Source organism: Homo sapiens, chromosome 6 (assembly GCF_000001405.40).
Source record: "Homo sapiens chromosome 6, GRCh38.p14 Primary Assembly".
Taxonomy (NCBI): domain Eukaryota; kingdom Metazoa; phylum Chordata; class Mammalia; order Primates; family Hominidae; genus Homo; species Homo sapiens.
The window spans coordinates 82,055,749-82,071,275 of NC_000006.12; the positions used below are offsets into that span (position 1 = coordinate 82,055,749).

Here is a 15,527-nt window from a genome sequence, read left to right on the forward strand (position 1 = left end):
TGAAAATGAACCTATCCCAAGGTACTGGGCTGTGCTGATATCATTCAAAAACATTAATTGCATATTAAGGCACAATTATGAGCAGTTATTGCCATTTCTATAATTGAACAGTACAATTCAAACAAGAAGAGTAAGAATAGAAGGAGATAGGCTGGAGACCCCAGCGAATATAGCTTTGTACCTCTCTACTTCCTTCAGATTAAAAATCAGTGAATAAGCATAGGCTGGTATTTGCTGAGAGCTAGATATCATATTGCTAAGATGTTACCAAGAGATTCAATTCTATAAATTAAATAATAAGAACATATGAATAAAGAGAATAGCAGTATATATTTCCTTGGAAGCAAAGACTAAAACATTGACTGATAAGATCTTGCTACTAATTCAAATACAAACGCTAATTCTTATTTTGGCAGCTTTCAGTTTATTCCCTACAAGGCCACTCCAGAGAAATCCTCAAAAAATATTTTGTATGATCTCTCTTCTTTTACCTTTACTATTCCTACTCCACCTGCAAGGACAGAAAGAGGGTTGGAGGGTAATTGTATAATCATGATTAGATTGTAATAAGACCTATGTGTGGGGAAAAGAACTTTCACCATTCTTTTTTTTTTCCACGTTAACAACCTTTAAACCTGCTCCAAGTATAAATTCAATTAGAGTGAATCATATATTTTGCATAATTTAATAACCTTTTTTCTTATTATGGAAGTTCTTATAGTCATTTTATTTTCATGGTAAAAAATAATCAAGCAGACACGGACATGGAAATAAAATTTTAGAAAAGCAGCAAAGAACCCATTCATAATTCTACCACCAAATCATTAACCACTGTTAATATTTTGGAGTATATACTTCCAGAGGGTGGTGTGTGTGTGTGTGTGCATGTATGTGTGTTTTCAGGTGTCTTTGCCAGTGTTGATGCCTGTAAGGTCCTGGCTTCTTGGTCTTGCCTCAGCCTTATCCTGACCCCTCTGTGGTCAAGACCCATAATATAACAATAGACAGAGCTCCCACTAGCTGGTAGAGTCTGGAACTGATCTTGCTACTGTGGTTCTCTGAGGGCCAGGATGAGCCTTGGGCTCCTGTGAGTATCTGGAGCTACAGCCTTCCCACCCGTTTTGAGTTTGTGCAACCCATGGGACTAGGCAGCTGCCTCACTTTCCTGATTTGTACTTTTGCTCTCCATTCAAGGCCTGGAACCCTGTTTCTCTCAAGCTCCTTGGCTGACACCCAACACACAGCCTAGCTCTTGCCTGTGGCTCCCTTCTTTCTGGGCCACTAAACTCTATGCCCTGACCCCTTGGCTGCTGTGTGCACCTGTCCATGAGCATTTCCTGGAGACTTCAACTGCAACAACCCACCCACCAAGTCAGACTCCCCCTGGGTGCTGAAATCACCAGGCATCTTTGACCCCAATTGGGTCACTTTCATCAGGAACAAACCCTAGGATGGCTTACCCAAATTTCTTTATTTGCTGTCTAATGTTTTGAGCCATTTGTTTTTCTCTTTCACTTAAAACTCCTACCCTTTACTGAGCACTGGGTTAAACTGTGGTAGGGCAATCAGTGACAACATTTTAGTTAATTGCTTAGCAATGTTGTTTAAAAGGAATGAAAACTTCAGATTACACTCAAACTTTCCTGTAAATGGCTCAGTACCACCTGACACAAATTTGCCCTCACATTATAGCCTTCTAATCCTTGTCAGCAGGAAGGAAAAGAAAAGAATAAACAACCAAAGGAGATTTATTAATATCATGTTTTCTTCTCTCAGAGAAGAAAGCGCAAAAAAAAGTGGTATCCTCTCATCCACTAATGGTTAGATGTTGGCTTCGATATGTTTTCATCTGGATCGGAACAAGTGTTCGGGGTACATCTTGCTGCCTTCAAATATCAGATAATAACCCCTCTTTGTGATAACAGAATGGGAAAGCCTATGGTGATATTTTGCCCAAAGTGACATGTACGGGGGGGATTATTTGAAAAGCAAAAAGGCACATTTGCCTAACAGACAAGCTTGGACAAGTTCAAGTGGCAGAAGAAAAATCCTCAGAAAGGTGTTTTGCGACATGCCTAGCCATTAGTCTCTAATGTCACTTTTTTCTCAGAAAAAAAAAAAAGAACACTGTTTTTGAGATTGTTTCATAATGAGCACATTGTATTGAAGGGCAGTGAAAGAATCACAAACCTTGTTTCAATCCCAGCTGTCAGCTCTCCACTGGAAGGATGCCATTTACTTATTCTTGGACTGGATCCTAGATGTAAAAAAAAGGAAAGAAAGAAAAAGCGTGTGTAGCTACCAATCAGTGTGAATTGAACATTATTATCTACTAGCCTCTTCCTAGCAGTTTACAGCAGTATCAAATTCCTACCAGAGATGCAGATGAGTAAGGAGCAGGGGCTGCATGCTCAGCCTGTTCAGGTGCTGGGCAGGGAAGTGAATGGGCGAGGTTACCAGTGGCAATGCCTGTAAGGAAGAGAGCAGATGCCTCATCTGCTGGTCTGATGGGCCAGATGCTGCTCAGCCCCAGCCTGCTCAGGCCACATAGAAAGGCCAGCCCAATGTTGACAAACACTCTGAGGCTTTGCAAGAGAAGGTGGAAGGAAATTTGAATATTTATGATAATTCTCCAGATTTTTAAATGTTGGCAATTGACTTAAAGAATTTCCAAACCCCCGGCAAGCCCAACAAGACACATATGGGTGCCAGATGCAACCCTTAGACATCTAGTTTGTGAGCTGCGTTCTAGAGCATGAGGAAGAGGGAGGAGAGAGGGCCATATGGCCGGCTGGGTGAGTTCCTGCAGAGTTGACCTGCACACCCCAGAGAATGTCATCTACAGGGTGATAGGGGTTACTCAGGAAAGCAAAGACACTCTTCAATCAGGTCAAAACTGATCATGTTGGGCACAGTCCTTTACTTAAGTTTATCTGTAGTACATATGTATACTAAGCTATATGTAGCACATATTTAATACTTTATTTAATATACATATATTTACATATAAAAATATACCAGCCCTTTGTATCAGTGAATATATATGCATTTATACATATTCAATGAAATGGTCTTTCACTCATTGTTTATCCCTATATGCAACACCACTCACATTGCCTTGCACATAAAAGGGAGCCATTAAATGTTTGTTAAATTTATTTTTAAAAAATACTTATTGAGCTAATATATGCCAGGAACTGTTCTAGGAATCTGAGATAAATTACTGAGCAAGGCAGGCAAAGCTCTCAGTCCTTGAGGGAGTAGAGTTCCAGTGGTGGACAATCAGACAATCAATAATGAACATAATAAATAAGTAAATTATATTTTGTGATAGAAAGTAGTAAGTGCTACAGAAAGAAAAGTAAAGTAGGATAAAGGGAACTGGGATTACTGGAAGAGGTACTTCTTGTGGTATTAAATTGGGTGAAATTTTGTATTTTAAAAAGCTAAGTATGCTGATAGCTAATATTAGTCCAATTTTAGTCGAATATTTAATATAACTAAAGTGACTTCTAATTTCAAATCTTTTTATTTTGGTGTTCATATACCTACTAGTTGGCAATCAAATAATCAAAAGAAAAGAGTATTTGTTCATTTATTCAGCTTTTCTTTACTGAACATCTTTTAGATGCAAACTGCCAAGTCAAGCATCAGGCACAGAAGGGAGGACATGGCAGAGACAGTGAGAGAAGACCTTGGTAACACACAAGCCTCAGGAACATAAACTTCTGTATAGAGATATTGGCCTTTTCTCTGCCCCATTCCCCAGGTCCTTATTAAGGACCAGCTTGGCTTTCATCATTCTTCAGAGTAGTTGAATTCAGGGAGGAAAGCAACCTTACAGCCTGTCTTCCCACCAATCCACGTCCATCGGGAGCCATGTCTATCCATCCCCATGGACTTGGGCTGCCTCCTGTGCAATTCACTCCATCTGGCCAGAAACATAAGACCATGGAAGGATTACATCAATGTGGTCTCCCAGTGTGATCCCAGAAGCCAAGGCTCTCATAACTTTGTGATTCTCCCTCATAACAATATAATTTAATGTGCATATATTATTTAATTCCCTCCAGAATGATACATGGTGTGTGATGGTAGAGACAGGGCAATGACAAGACTAAAGATATATGTCCTTCACATTTTACAGGATTCTTGTGAGAATCAAATGAGCTATGGTAAGGAAGAGCTCTCTAAACTTGAAAGTGCTCTTATAATAATTTCAACAAGAGCTAACACTTACCAAGTTGTTACCACATGTCAACAGCGGTTCTACTTTATGTATACTAACTCAGTTAAGGCTCACAGCAGTCTATGAGGTGGGTGGTATTATTTTTCCCATTTTCTGAATAAGGAAGTCCAGACACAGGAGGTTCAATGACTTGCCCAAAGTCACACAGTTATCTAGTGGCATAGCCAGGAATCTACCCAAGCTATCTGACTCCAGAAACAAAGCATTTAACTCCACTTGTAAATGCTACTACATGATTTATACAAGCATGGTCCATTCCATAATATTCATTATCTTCAATATGCAAAGCACCAAGCTAAGTAGCATGAGAAATATAGAGAGTAAACTAAACCTTCAAGAAGCTAATGAATTTATAGATGAACATTAAAGTCATTAAAAGCACGTTTGTGTACATGGACACCATACATCCACTCCCGTGCTATTTCTTGACTCATACTCCTTACCATCAGTAAAACACACATGAGAGTCCTTAAATTAGAGGAAGATAGTTCACATATGAGAGGGCAGAACCAAGCTCAGTGGTCTAGGGGTTCTTGTGAACAGGAGGAGTTATAGATAGCAATAGATGTTAGACAGCTAGAACCTAAATCTTCCACCACCAATGGCCACTCCAGAGATGGCTTTTGAATTGGAGGCAGAAGTAGACAGACATTTCTGTGGCATGTCTTCAATGTCACATTTGAAATTAGATCAATGTGACAACCTCCCAAGTGATGCCAAGGAATAGTACACATTCCAAGAGAGCTAGCTTCCTTCAAAGAGGGGTAAGGGGAGGATGTAGGAGGATCCTCACAAATACGTGTTTGCCTCACTCCCACTCCCCAAACACTCTGGTCCAAGCTGCTTTGGGGCCTTTACTGGTCTTTGTGAGGTGGAAGAAAGTGCTGGTTGAAGCCCTTCAGGGGTTCATTTAAAATTCATCCCCCAGGTAACAATAAAACACTGATTTCTAAAAAATATTCATTAAAGCATCAATGCACTTGATTTCATTATTTTACTTCTTAAAACCCCCAGTGAACATTCTATTATGGTTGGTCTCCTTCAGTGATCCACTGCTGAAGTCTTTCTGCAATCCAAAAATTTTTAAATGTAAATTCTAATGTGTATCACTATCTGCATATCACAATAAGGAAAAACAAACAATGATCTGCTTTAATTCTGTAGGTATTTGAAGACATGCCAAGTTAGGAAGTGGTTAGAAAGGTGGCTGTAAGATAAGAGTTGTGCAGCTCAGATTTGGATCTCTAAAATGCACTGTGAAGAAGCCCCCAAGGGTCTAATTCATTCAGGACTGTTCCAGAAAGGTCAAGTCTGAAAACGAAGAAAACTTAGAGCCCTCAGTGTCCACCCTGATTCCTTGTTTCTTTCTCAAACTGTACGGGGGCCAAACAATGTTAGCCTTCTCGAAACAAATGATTACCGAAAATAAGAAGTCTCTTACAAAAACAAATTCAGATGAACCCCTCCATGGCAAACATAAACTGAACCTCCCAAATCTCTGGGCCACTATCACAGCAAATGGGACAACCCAACAGCAGTGATCCAGAGAAACAGTGGACTATCCCAAGTGGGCGGTACTAAGTCCTGGAGAAGCTGAATTGATTCCTCAAGATGCTTGGTTCCACCTGGCCTAAACTCATGGGAATCAGGGGAGCCATCTAAGTAAATGAGGATTTTTGTGCTGGTCTACCAGCGTAGTTTCAATTGTTTCATTTAAAAATCTTAAGGTCTTCCTGTAAAGAATCCTCAGATATTTATACCCAACTATTCTCGAAAATCCCTGAACTCAAAAAGCAAATTTTAGCTTCTGAGAGTTCTCATGTAAATCACAAATAAATGTTTTCTCAAAGAAACTGTACACCACCACCACCACCTCTCCCCACACCCTTGGTGGGAGATAATACACATTAAGTATCTTTTTTATTTGCCAAAAATATTCTGAATCACCTTTAGGTGGCTCAACACATGCTTGCATTGACTGGTTTACATCTAGCAAACCTGAATTCTATCTAACGCTAAATGCTATTTTAAGCTAGCAAACCACTAGCTTTATTGGGCCAGGGGAGATTGATGGGGAATCTTTCAGTCTGGTGTTCAAAAATATTTTACATTCATAAAGAAAGACGGAAACCCTACACACCAAATGGCAATTGCCCTAATTTCAATATTTACCAAAAATGACAACAGATGAAAACAAAGGAGTAAGGCTTTGTTTTCAAACCTTACTCAATTTTCTCAATATGTATGTATGCCTGCAGTTTAGGTCACGAACCACAATCTACATTTTCTATTTGTCTCTTAATTCCAATCTCGAAATTCCTCACTATCCAATATGCAAGTTGTGTCCTCCAGAATTAGGTAAGAAGCTATCTTTTTTGGTGGCGTGTAGGAAAGTGTAAAGCCTGTCATGACAGGTAATCTGATACTGCTAAAATCAGACGGATAAGAAAGGGAAAAAAGGCTGGGCGCAGTGGCTCACATCTGTAATCCCAGAACTTTGAGAGGCCAAGGTGAGCAGATCACTTGAGGTCAGAAGTTCAAGACTAACCTGGCCAGCATGGTGAAACCCCATCTCTATCAAAAAATACAAAAATTAGCCCAGCGTGGTGGCACGCACCTATAGTCCCAGCTACTCAGGAGGCTGAGACATGAGAATGCCTTGATCTCGGGAGGCAGAGGTTGCAGTGAGCCAAAATCTCACCACTGCATTCCAGCCCGGGCAACAGAGTGAAATCCTGTCTCAAAAAAATAACAAAAAAAACAAGACTGTTACTTCACCCTAAAAAACTGACATGACTGCTTGAAATGATTGATTATGGAGCTAAAGATTCGTCTGTTCATGTTCACTGCTTAGTAAGTCACTTGCTTAATTGCATTTGAATAACTAAATTGAATGTTTTTTCCTTTATATAGCTTTATTGTTGATACTGACTTCTAATTATTAAACAATACTGTAGGTAGAATATCTTCATGACTACAAAGTAAGGAAAGAGTTATTAATCAGGAAAAAAACTAACTATAAAAAATTAATAAATGTTAATATATTAAAATAAGAATTTGTATTCATCAAAAAGCATAATACTAGAGGGAACAGAAAAACTGCAAGTAGAAGAAAATATTAGAATTTATTTTTTTTGAGACGGAGTCTTGCTCTGTCACCCAGGCTGGAGTGCAGTGGCTTGATCTCCACTCACTGCAACCTCCGCCTCCTAGGTTCAAGTCATTCTCCTGCTGCAGCCCCCCAAGTAGCTTGGATTACAGGTGCATCCCACCACACCCGGCTAATTTTTGTATTTTCAGTAGAGTCGGATTTCACCATGTTGGCCAGGCTGGTCTCAAACTCCTGGCCTCAAATGACCCACTCACCTCAGCCTCCCAGAGTGCTAGGATTATAGGCATGAGCCACCGTGCCCAGTCTAGAATTTCAATGAAGTATTTCTACAAATCTTTAAGGAAAAGGACATTCCAATAGAATGGGTAAAAACCTGAACAGATCTTGCACAAAACATAATATCCAAATGGGCAATTAATGAATGTGAAAGTGCTTAATCTCATTGATCATCAGGGAAATACAAAATAAAACTACAATGAGATATGACTAGACAAACAAGATGACTAAAATAGCATAGAAGGAAAACAGTGTTGGTGAAAAGGTAGAGTCATAGGAACTCACATACACTGTTGGTAGAAATGTTAATTGGGTGGAAAACTGGCAGTATCTGCTAAGCTGAACATACGTGTACCGTATGATCAACACGTGTGCATGTGCTAACCAGAGACAGTACTAGAATATTCATAGAACATGGATAATAGCTGCAAGTTGGAAACTACCCAAATGCCTACAACAATAGAAAGAATAAGCAAAATGATATATTCACACAACAAAATACCATACAGCAATGAGAATAATCACCCTATAACTATATATAAAAATATGGATGAGTCTCACAAACAATGTCAAGTGAAACAAGCCAGATGCAAAATATATACTATGATTCCAGTAATTTAAAGTATAAAATTCGCACAACTAGTATAATCTGTTAGAAGTGGTTACCCTTGGGAATGAGGAGGCAGGCAAAGAAGAGGGTTTCTGAGTGCTGGTAATATTCTGGTTTTTGATGTGGGTGTTGCTTACCGGGGGTGATCATTTTATAGGTGACACCATCAAGTAGCACACTTGTAATTAGAGTGCTTTCTATATTTATACTATTCTTCCATAGAGTTACTAATGAATAAACAAATTGGACATAACTAACTTGCATTTTCATAAAAACACTTTCAGTCCTCAGAGAACACTGTACATTTTAATAGATAAAATTTGTATTTCTTTACTAGACCTCTTTGTAATTGAGAAAATATATTCTTTCAAACGCTTCTTTCTTTCTTTTTTCAGGTGGGATCTCACTCTGTCACCCAGGCTTGAGTGCAGTGGTGCAATCTCGGCTCACTGCAACCTCCACCTCCTAGGCTCAAGTGATCCTCCTACCTCAGCTTCCCAAGCAGCTGGGACTGAGGTGTGCACCCCCACACTTGGCTAATTGAAACACTTCCTTCTATCACACAAAAAGCAACAAGTACCAAACATTTACAAAAAATATACTTTTTTTTTTGAAGAGGTGCAATAATTTCTCTCAGTAAATTAAACAAGTAATAAAAAGTCTTTTGTGTTAATGATAATGTTTTGGAATACCCAATATTTTATGTTTGCTAAAATACTATTTTCCACATAGTATCTCTCCCTTGAGCCATAGTTGATAAATAGGGCAAATATTGTTATTATTCCCATTTTATGGATAAGGAAAATGAAGTTCAAGGCTCAGTGTGTCCAGGGTAACAAAGGTAATAACTTGCATTGCCCAGATTCAAAATTTCTGATGGAAAATTAATTCACTATATTAATATTATAAGTTGAAATATTGTAAGCCTAAATATTGTAAGTTGAAAACGAATTTATTACATCTAAACTATCAAACATCATAGTTTAGCATAGCCTACTAAGTCACATGACTGCTTAGTAGATCATTTAATTTTCTCTGTATTTCTAATAATTTGCCTGACATGAAATAATCTCTCTCGTGATTCTAGTTTTATTCCTCATCCATTTACCAAAAGCCAAAGTGCTTCTTAGTGAAGTAGCCTAAAATATTATTTGGCAAATTTTTTTCTTGTTTGAATATTTTTATGTTTGATGCCAATTTTTCTTTGTTTTTAATCTGGCAAAACCTACCGATAGCTCCTCAGTGTGTTAAAACAAGTCCACTCAAGGTGGCTTACCTTTGCTCCCAGGTAATTAAAACAACACTATAATACCTGGGTCACCTTTGACTTTGTATTCAATGTCTTCATCTTGAAAGTTAGAAAGTTAAGAAAAAAGAGGAGGGGGCTACATGATGAATGTGAATCCAACTATACCGTGGATTTAGAGTCGTGCTCTGAAATCAAGCACAGTTTTCTTTAATAAGGAATATTTTAGTAGAAGAACTAAGGACTTCAGACTCTATACAACTTCTGAATTTTCCAGAATGCCTCCACTAACTTCTATTCCTTGGTGTTGAGCATGACCTATCTACTCTCCCAATCCAGCTGTTAATCTGACATAGTGTTTCCCAGCTCACCTAGAAATACGTCAAAAGCCATAGTTCAAAATGATACACGGATGCTCCTCGATTTATGATGGGATTACATCTTAATAAACCCATCATAAATTGAAAATATTGTGAGCTGAAATGCATTTGCTACACATAACCTATCGAACACCTTACTTTAGCCTAGCCTACTTAAATGTGCTCAGAACATTTACATACATTTGCCCAGCCTACAGTTGGGCAAAATAATCTAACACAAAGCCTATTTCATAATAAAGTATTGAATATTTCACATAACTTATTGAATACTATAGTAAAAGTGAAAAACAGAATGGTTGGATATGTGCTCAAAGGACAGTTTCTACTGAATACATATCACTTTTGCACCATCATAAAGTTGAAAAATCATAGGTTGAACCATCATAAGTGAGGGATCATATGTAATTGCTTTCAAAGAACATAGTACTACAGTGATTCAAAAAATGTCTGTGATGGTCCTAGAATAGTTGCTAAAATAAGTGTCAACTATTCTCGTTGATTAGAAAAATCTGCCATGTTTGGGTGACTTTTTAGAATTTGGAAACTGAGGTCTTTAATTCATAACAAATGGTGTTAGGTTTTTTTGTGTGTGTTTTTGTGTTTTGTTTTGGGTTTTGCTGCCATAAAAAATTATAGCAAATTTAGTGGCTTAAAACAATACAATTGCATTGTCTTAGAGTTCTGTGGACCAGAAGTCCAGTATGGGTTTTACTGAACTAAAATCATGGTGTTGGCAGACCATATGCCTTTCTGGAGGCTCTAGGGGAGAATCTATTTCCTACTCATTAGGGTTGTTGGCAGAATTCAGTTCCTTTTGGTTACAGGTTATAGGCTGAGGTAGTTGTTTCTTTGCTGGCTGTCAGCTGAGGGCTATTCCCAGCCTTTAGAGGTCCCATTCCTGCATCTTCAAAGCCAACACTGGTGGGTTGAGCCCCTCTAATATTGAATCTCTCTGACCTTCTCAATCTCCTCCACTTTTAAGGTCTCATGTGATTAGATTGAGCCTACCTGTATAATTTCCCCACTCAAATTCTGTAGCCTTAATCACATCTGCCAAGTGCCTTGTGCTCTGTAAGAAAACATGCTCACAAATTCCAGAGGTTAGGATGTGGACACCTTTGAAAAGCCATTAGTCTTTCTACTATGCCAATTTTACATATCCCTGGCTGAACGATAATTTCCCATATTGAAGAGAATAAGCTTATGAAAAGATTTGTGATAAATAAAATTTTATGACTGGTGAATGAATTTTACAGAACTTATGTTGAAATGTATTCTTTGCTTCATTTATGTTTCATTCTCATCTGCTACCAGTAGTCTATATGAAGAGATGAAAAAAATAAGTCAATGCTATGAGCTCACATTCACATGTTGAAGCCCTAAGCCCCAGTGTGATTATATTTGGAGATGGGGCCTTTGGGAGGTAATCAGGTTTAGATGAGGTCATGAGAGTGAGGTCTTCATGATGAGATTAGTGTCCCTTAAAAAAGAGATACCAGAAAGCAAGAGCTTGCTCTCTCGTGCGCACTCTCTCAGTTTCTCTTTCTGTGTCTCTCTCTCCTCCTCCCTTTCTCTGTCATGTGAGGACACAGAGAGAAGGCAGCTGTCTGCAAGTGAGGAAGTAGGCCCTCATCAGAATTCAACCACGCTGGCACTCTGATCTTAGACATCTAGCTTCCAGAACTATGGGAAATAAATTGTTTTTTGTTTAAACCACACAGTCTGTAATATTTTGTTTGGCAGTAAGAGCAGACTGAAACAGAAAAGTCGATATAAACAAAAGACATACATCCCCTATTTTCAATTTAAGGAAATGTAGTTTCACAATGGAGGTGGCATAACCCCTTTCAAAAAGCAATAAACTTTAGCTTCCATTAGATATCCTCTTATTTAATCACTGATTTTTACTAGGTAAGAGCAGAAAAATCTTACCTAACTATATTGAGATTTTCTAAAATCCACTATCACTAGAATGGCTTGAGACCTTCAAAATATTATTTATAATAATGATTGCCTCTTCTATATGATTATAGATCAGGACCCTGTCAAGTAGCAGTAATAATGTCAAGGAGTAATTTCTTTGAATGTGAAACTAAGGCAAACTATATAAAACTTGCACTAATTTTTAAGGCTTAACAATTAATTTCTCAGGTCAGGCATGGTGGCTCACACCTATCATCCCAGCACTTTGGGAGGCCGAGGCGGGCAGATCACTTGAGGTCAGGAGTTTGAGACCAGCCTGGCCAACATGGTTTGGTCTCTACTGAAAATACAAAAATTAGCTGAGCATGGTGACGGGTGCCTGTAATCCCAGCTACTTGGGAGGCTGAGGTAGGAGAATTGCTTGAACATGGCAGTAGGAGTTTTCAGTGAGCCGAGATTGAGCCACTGCACTCCAGCCTGGGTGAGAGAGCTAAGCTGCATCTCAAAAATAAATAAATAAATAATAAAATAAAATAAATTGATTTATCTTCTTCCACTGCACACAGAATAATTTTCATGAGTTTCATGCATGGAACAGTGAGGATGGCTAATAAACTGATTTATCTATGTGTTTCAAATTTTAAAATCTAAAAAATATTGCTTATTTATTTGCTTTTTTAAAGATCAGGGCGATCTGTCAATAACATGATGGCAGGATAAAAAGAATAAACACGCCTGTAATCCCAGCACTTTGGGAGGCCGAGGCGGGTGGATCACGAGGTCAGGAGGTCGAGACCATCTGGCTAACATGGTGAAACCCCGTCTCTACTAAAAATACAAAAAATTAGCCGGGCGTGGTGGTGGGCGCCTGCAGTCCCAGCTACTCGGGAGGCTGAGGCAGGAGAATGGCGTGAACCCGGGAGGCGGAGCTTGCGGTGAGCCGAGATCCCGCCACTGCACTCCAACCTGAGTGACAGAGCGAGACTCCGTCTCAAAAAAGAAAAGAAAAAGAATAAACACAAAGATAAAGATGTCCATTTTGTGGGCAGCCACAATGGCCTAATATCAGGGACCCAGGAAGGTCCTTTTGGTAGATAGTTCTAAAAATTATACATCAGTTTCTGTCTTTGGTGTACAACATGCCATTCCCTCAGCTGAGAGGCAGAGTTTATTTTTTCTCCCCTTGAATCTGGACTGGCCTTGCAACTACCTTGACCAAAAGAATACAGCGAAAATAATATTCTGTGTACTTCTAAGTCCAGACCTTAAGAAGATTGGCAGCTTCTATTTCCTTCCTCTTAGAATATTCTTCCCTGGAACTCAGCCACCAATCAGTGAAGAAGCCCAAACAGCTACATGGAGAGGCTCACATGGAAAAGAACCCAGGCCCTCGGCCAACAGCTTCAACTTAGCTCCCATATGGCAGCCAGAATCAACTGCCAGCCACATGTCTGAGGCCATCTGGACCCTCAAGCCATCCTAGCACCCCAGGCAACACCACATGAAGCAGAAGGATTGTCCTATCCAACTAAAATGGGAGAAAAAAAAAATAAAAGCAAGGTAAGAAGGAAGGTGAGCATTACAGTTTTAAATAGAGTATCCAGGGGAGACCTCATGAGAAAGATGAACGAGGGAGTGAGCCCTATCAATATCTGGAGGAAGAGTGTAACAGGCAGAGGGAACAGCCAGTGCAAAAGGCCCTAATCTATGAGCACCTGGCATGTTTGAGATAATCAGTGAAGCCAGTGTAGTTTCAAAAAGGTGATCAAGAAGAGGAGTGGTCCAAGAGGTAACACAGGTTCATAGAAGGTGGGGATCTAGAGTGGGATAAATGCGGGACCCCCAAAAGATATGCCCAAATCCTAACTCCTGGAACCTGTAAATGTGACCTTATTTGGAAAAGGAGTTTTTACAAATGCAAATAATTTAATCATCTCAAAATGAGATGATCCTGGATTATCCAGGGGCTTAAATACAATAACAAGTGTCCTTATAAGAGAAAAGAGAGGGCTGTGTAAAGTGGGAAGTAGAGATCAGTTTCACTGCCACAGGCCAAGGAACACCAGGAGTCACAAGAAGCTGAAAGAGGCAAGGAAGGATTCTCCCCTAGAACTTTCAAAGGGAGCATGCTAACACCTTGGTATTGTACTTCTGGCCTCCAGAACTGTAAAAGAATATTTCCATTGTTACAAGCCATCCAGTTTGTGATACTTTGTTACAACAGCTCTAGGAAATTAAGGTAGGCTCCATAGGACATTATAAGGACTTTGTTTTTTAATTGGGAAAAATGGGAGCCATTATAGAGTCAGAAAAGAGAAGTTACATCATCTAACTTTCATTTTTTTAAAGATACTAGGTTGAAAACCAAATGTAGAAACCAGGAGACTAACTGGAAATGATAGCACAGGCCAGTATTGCAGTGTTAGGGACGAGGAATAGTTAGATTATGGATATATTTTCAAGGTAGAGAGAATAAAATTTCTTGATAGATTGGACATAGGTTATGAGGGGAAATAAATAGTCAAGGGTGACTCCAAGGTTTTGTATGTAAGCAAATGGAAAAATGGAGTTGCCATTGACCAAGATAGGAAAGGTTGAAGGTAAAACAGATTTGGGAGGAAAGATCAGGGACTCTGTATTTGGGGCATATTAAATTTGAGATTTCTATTAAATATCCAACTAGATACGTCAGGTATGCAGTTGCATACAAAAATCTGAAGGTCAGGAGAGGTTATGGGCTGAAGATGTTCATTACAGTACATCAGCACACAGATGATATTCAAAATCATGAAACTCGGTGAGGTCAACAAGAAAATAAATATAGATAAAGAAAAGAGATCTATAAACAGAACCCACAGTACCTGAGGAGTGGAGAGAAATGGAGAAATGGAGAGCAGAACAAGCAGCAAAGGAGACAAAAAAGGAGAAACTGATGAGATAGGAAGAAACCCAAGAAATTGGGGTATCCTGCAAGCAAAGCAAGGATGTCAAGGAGGGAGTGCTTCCACTTTATTAGATTCATGGGTAGGATAAGTAAGACGAGGACTGAGAATTATTGAGTACATTTACCAACAAGGAGGTCACTGGTGGCTTTGACAAGAGCCATCCTGGTGAAGTATTTGGAGCATAAGCCTGACTGAAGTGGACTTAAGAGGGAATGAGGAAAGAGGATTTGCAGACAGTGAGCACAGAAATATCTTTAGGGTTGTTTTAACACAAGGGGAGCAATGAAATGATATGGCAGCTGGCAGGGGAAGGAGGATTGAAAGAAAGCCTTCTGAAATTGAAAGAAAAAGTGCATACATATATGCTGATGGTGGCAATTGAGAAGAGTAGGAAAAAATGACAACTTAGAAGAAAGAAAGGGGACTTGCTGGAGCTATGTCCTTGAGGAAGCAAGATGAGATGAGATCTATGCAAGAGTACAGGGATTGACACAGAGCTCCTACGGTGCAGACCAAAGGCAGACGAGGTGGATGCTGCCAAGCAGATAGGTAGGGCAGTAGTCATCTGTGCAAGTTCTCTTCTATTTACTTCAATATACTCATGAAGCAGGAATTGGGGTCCTCACCTGAGAGTCAAGATGGAAGAGGTGGTGTTGGAGTTTGGAGCAAAGAGAGGAGAAGATGTAAAATACATGTCCAGGAGAGTGGGAGAGTGAATAGCTAGGAAAGTATAGAATGGCTGTCCAGTGGCTGCCAAGTTCTATTTAGTGTGTGTGGTGATGAATT

At 39.3% G+C, this 15,527-nt stretch overlaps 2 long non-coding RNA genes across 2 annotated transcripts in view, besides 1 other annotated feature; one reads left to right on the forward strand and one right to left on the reverse strand.

The window, feature by feature from the left end:
* The window catches only part of LINC02542 (long intergenic non-protein coding RNA 2542), a 257,985-nt gene that overhangs the window by 211,968 nt on the left and 30,490 nt on the right, over positions 1-15,527 (reverse strand). Inside the window, exon 3 of the long non-coding RNA NR_149135.1 lies at positions 2,191-2,257. This is a non-coding gene — a long non-coding RNA (long intergenic non-protein coding RNA 2542). The remainder of the gene's footprint in view (positions 1-2,190; positions 2,258-15,527) is intronic.
* Positions 1-15,527, forward strand: part of LOC107986617 (uncharacterized) — a 97,872-nt gene that overhangs the window by 38,145 nt on the left and 44,200 nt on the right. Inside the window, exon 3 of the long non-coding RNA XR_001744231.2 lies at positions 13,099-13,356. This is a non-coding gene — a long non-coding RNA (uncharacterized LOC107986617). The remainder of the gene's footprint in view (positions 1-13,098; positions 13,357-15,527) is intronic.
* Positions 11,294-11,373: an enhancer, noted in NCBI's record as "active region_24776". NCBI's record gives its function as "activates an Ori minimal core promoter by ATAC-STARR-seq in GM12878 lymphoblastoid cells {active_cell/tissue: GM12878}" and the evidence as "EXISTENCE:reporter gene assay evidence [ECO:0000049][PMID:35858748]".